This window comes from Homo sapiens, chromosome 15 (assembly GCF_000001405.40).
Source record: "Homo sapiens chromosome 15, GRCh38.p14 Primary Assembly".
NCBI lineage: Eukaryota > Metazoa > Chordata > Mammalia > Primates > Hominidae > Homo > Homo sapiens.
Window position 1 is genome coordinate 93,827,941 of NC_000015.10, and position 3,374 is coordinate 93,831,314.

Sequence of the window (3,374 nt, forward strand, 5' to 3'; positions counted from 1 at the left end):
AGGAGTTCGAGACCAGCCTGGCCAACATGGTGAGGCCCTGTTTCTACTAAAAATACAAAAATTAGCTGGGCAGGGTGGCAGGTGCCGGTAATGCCAGCTACTTCGGAAGCTGAGGCTTAAGAATTGCTTGAACCCAGGAGGCAGAGGTTGCAGTGGGCTGAGATTGCGCCACTGCACTCCAGTCTGGGCGACAGAGTGATACTTTGTCTAAAACAAAGAAACAAACAAGTTTTCCAACTTCAACTAACTCTAGACCTCCTGGATGTTTATCTCAGTTGCATGGTTTTCTGTGGCATGTTTTCTAAACTGCAGTAGTGTCATTTACAACTCCATAGAAGTGTCAACTTCATCTCTCCAAATTTCCTTTAAGAAAAGCAGCAGAACAGATATTTTGGTTTTATAAATCCATAGCCAGTAACCACCCTTTGTGCTGGGGCTACCGTGTGCTGGCCAATGCGTTCCTGCCACCCCAATCTCCATGCCCATTAATATAGGAAGGTTATAGGTTGTAGGGAAAGGGGGGCAAATGTAAATAGCAGTGCTATTACCTTATGATAGATTGAGTTCAAGGCCCAGAACACTTCCTTGTTCTGAAGACACTTGCTATTGGATTTAAGGCCCACATTGATAACCTAGGACAATAACTATCTCAAGATCCTTAATCTGCAAGAGCCTTGCAGACCATTTTCCAAATAAAGTCACATTTATAAGTTCCACAAATGAGGACTTGAACATATACTTTTTGATGGCCATTATTCAACCTATGACAGGAATCAAAGCCAAGTTTTTAAGAGTAGAAAAAGCTGTATCGACAGGGCAAAATTTTAGATGCTTGGATAGTCCAGCTTCTGCAATAAAGTGAGAGAAACCAGTTTTTGTGCCCAGCCTCCATTATTAACCTCAGTAGGGAAGGCAACAGGTTCAAGAGGTAGAAGAAGAGACCCAGAGCCAGGAAGTGGACATGGGGTTTTACTAGGGGCTTACATACAGGGGAGAGGGTCCAGGGTGGCAGGCTGGACCGGAGAACCACCCTACTTACAGAAATGACCCCGTGGCAGTAGGCTGGACAACATATCCACAGTCCTATGGTCCAGTGACGTGAGCTGAACAAGATAAACGCACAGCCCCCATAGTATCGGGTTGGGGAGGAAAACTGCAACTGCTTGCAAGCAGCCTGCAGCTTATATAGCATTTTCACTTAACATCCTCCCCTTAACGACCTCCACCGGGCAACATTCATTTAATCCAAAACTCAGGGCCTTAATGCGTTGTATAGCCCGTGTTCCATTGGTTGGGCCTGGAGCTTAATGTTACTCATAGACAAGAAATGAAGCTCTGGGTTGGCCACTCCCACATCCCCTAGCTCAGAACACACATTCAGGTGCATCTGCCATCGGGGTCATCCTAAGGTTATGCTGGCGTTATTGCTATCAGGTATGTTTACCCTACAACAGCACGAATGACAAGGACATTGTGAACAATGTGACTCACCTGAGAATCTTCAAGGATCATGGGAACATGCTGGGTGTGTGTAGGAGGGAGGGGGAAGCATGGTGCATATGTCAATCACGGTCTCAGCAGGAAACTGATGGTGCATTCAAAAGCATGACTAGAGAGTGTCCAGTGAAGCAACTTTTTGCAGAGGCGTAGGCAGGAATAAAGTGCTAGCACAGGGTTTGACTGTAGACTGTCAATGAATGAGTCACAGTTTTACACTCCCCAGTCTTATCTTATTGGCAGATGATCTCACCCAGTGTGGGGAGAAAACCAAGTTAGGCAAGAGCACAACAAGCTCTATCAGTGAGGCCTAACTCGAGATGCCTGGATAGCCCAGCTATCAGCCAGTCAACAAGGGATAATGAGGCACCCCAGGGCTATCAACAGAAAAAAGCTGTTACTAAACTAGGGCTACAGGTCCAAGGGGAAGGAGGTGCCATCCCTAAGGCTAAACAGAATCAGATGAGCATAATTAGAGGAACAGAGGACTGAGTGACTCAGGAAAAGCCTAAGGGGATTAAGAACCTTCACACACACACACACACACACACACACACACACACACACACACACACACACACACACGCCCCTCTCTCTCTCCTTTCTCCCCCTCTTCTCCCTTTCCTCTCTCCCTACTCCTTTCTCTCCTCTCTCTTCTCTCTCTCCTCTCTCCCTCTCTTTCTGTCTCCTCTCTTTCTCACCCCCTCTCTCCTCTCTCTCTTACCCCTTCCCTGCTCTCTTTCTCTCTTTCCCCACCCACCCTATCTCTCTCTCCTCCTGTCCTCCAATACCCCATAGGTACTTCCTTATGGCTGCTGTTAGCTAAAATCTAGAGAGTAGAGGGTGAGTAGCCCTCCTGGGGGCACAGAGCAGGGCAGAGAACAGATTGTGAGGGAACTTGGAGAACAACAAACCTGAGGGCAAGGTGTGATTCTAGGAAATCTGTCCAAGTAGACTGCTCCAGATTGCTTTGGTTTGAATACTAAAGGTTACGTGACATATTTGCAGTCACAGTTGGTGAGATCTGGAGATTGAAGTTAAATTGTTTTAATGGATTCTCATCCAGGATCCAGGAGGTGAGAGATCACACCTGCCTTGCTCATTTCAACACCCCATTCCTGGGCACAGTTCCAGAATACAGTGGACACTGAAAACAACATTGACTGAATGAATCAAGTCCATCCTTGCAGATTTGTGCTTTGGGAAAAGATGAGGCTCTTTGTGCCTGACTCCTTCCATTGAGAAGAGTTTGCTCACCCTCTAATATAAATTTACCTTGGGCTGTTCCTACTCCCTGGGCCTCCTGACATATAAAGACAAGCCTATAGCCTAGGCTCAAGCTGAGATACACAAAGACAATAAATTATCTCATGGGCCACATTCCCAGGAGGAGTTCAGGATTAGAGCTAGTAGCTGACTGAGCTGAGGTTCAGGGCTGGGTTTCAGCCCTAAGATGAAAGCAGGGATTCAGGGGCCTGTGTGTAAAAGGCTGGTCAAGTTGAGACCAGAAAGGAATTAGAAGTCTTTGCTCGCACAGATGCCCTTTTCACTTAACATTACTTTACTGAGCATCAGTCTTGCACCAGATACCATGTCAAATGCCTGGGATGTAAAACCAAGTAAAACACATTATTTCCCTTTCATTGCTTACATTGTTGTTAGGGAGGCAGGGAAAAGTTTATGAATACATTTTGCAATGAGCTCTTTTGTAGAGGCCAAAGATGCCTTAGACAGGAGGGAATGCTAACCACTGCCAGGGTCGAAGTGTGAAAGGACAGGAAAGCTTAACAAATGCAGTGATCCCTGAGGTCTGTCTCAGAGCATGAGTGCAAGTTTTCCAAGACAGGGATGGGGAAGTCAGCTGGACAGAGAATAGC

General features: G+C 46.4%; 1 annotated feature.

Moving 5' to 3' along the window:
• Positions 1,484–2,019: an enhancer, noted in NCBI's record as "NANOG hESC enhancer chr15:94372653-94373188 (GRCh37/hg19 assembly coordinates)". NCBI's record gives its function as "activates a minimal SCP1, AML or CMV promoter by ChIP-STARR-seq in naive H9 embryonic stem cells {active_cell/tissue: H9 hESC(naive)}" and the evidence as "EXISTENCE:reporter gene assay evidence [ECO:0000049][PMID:30033119]".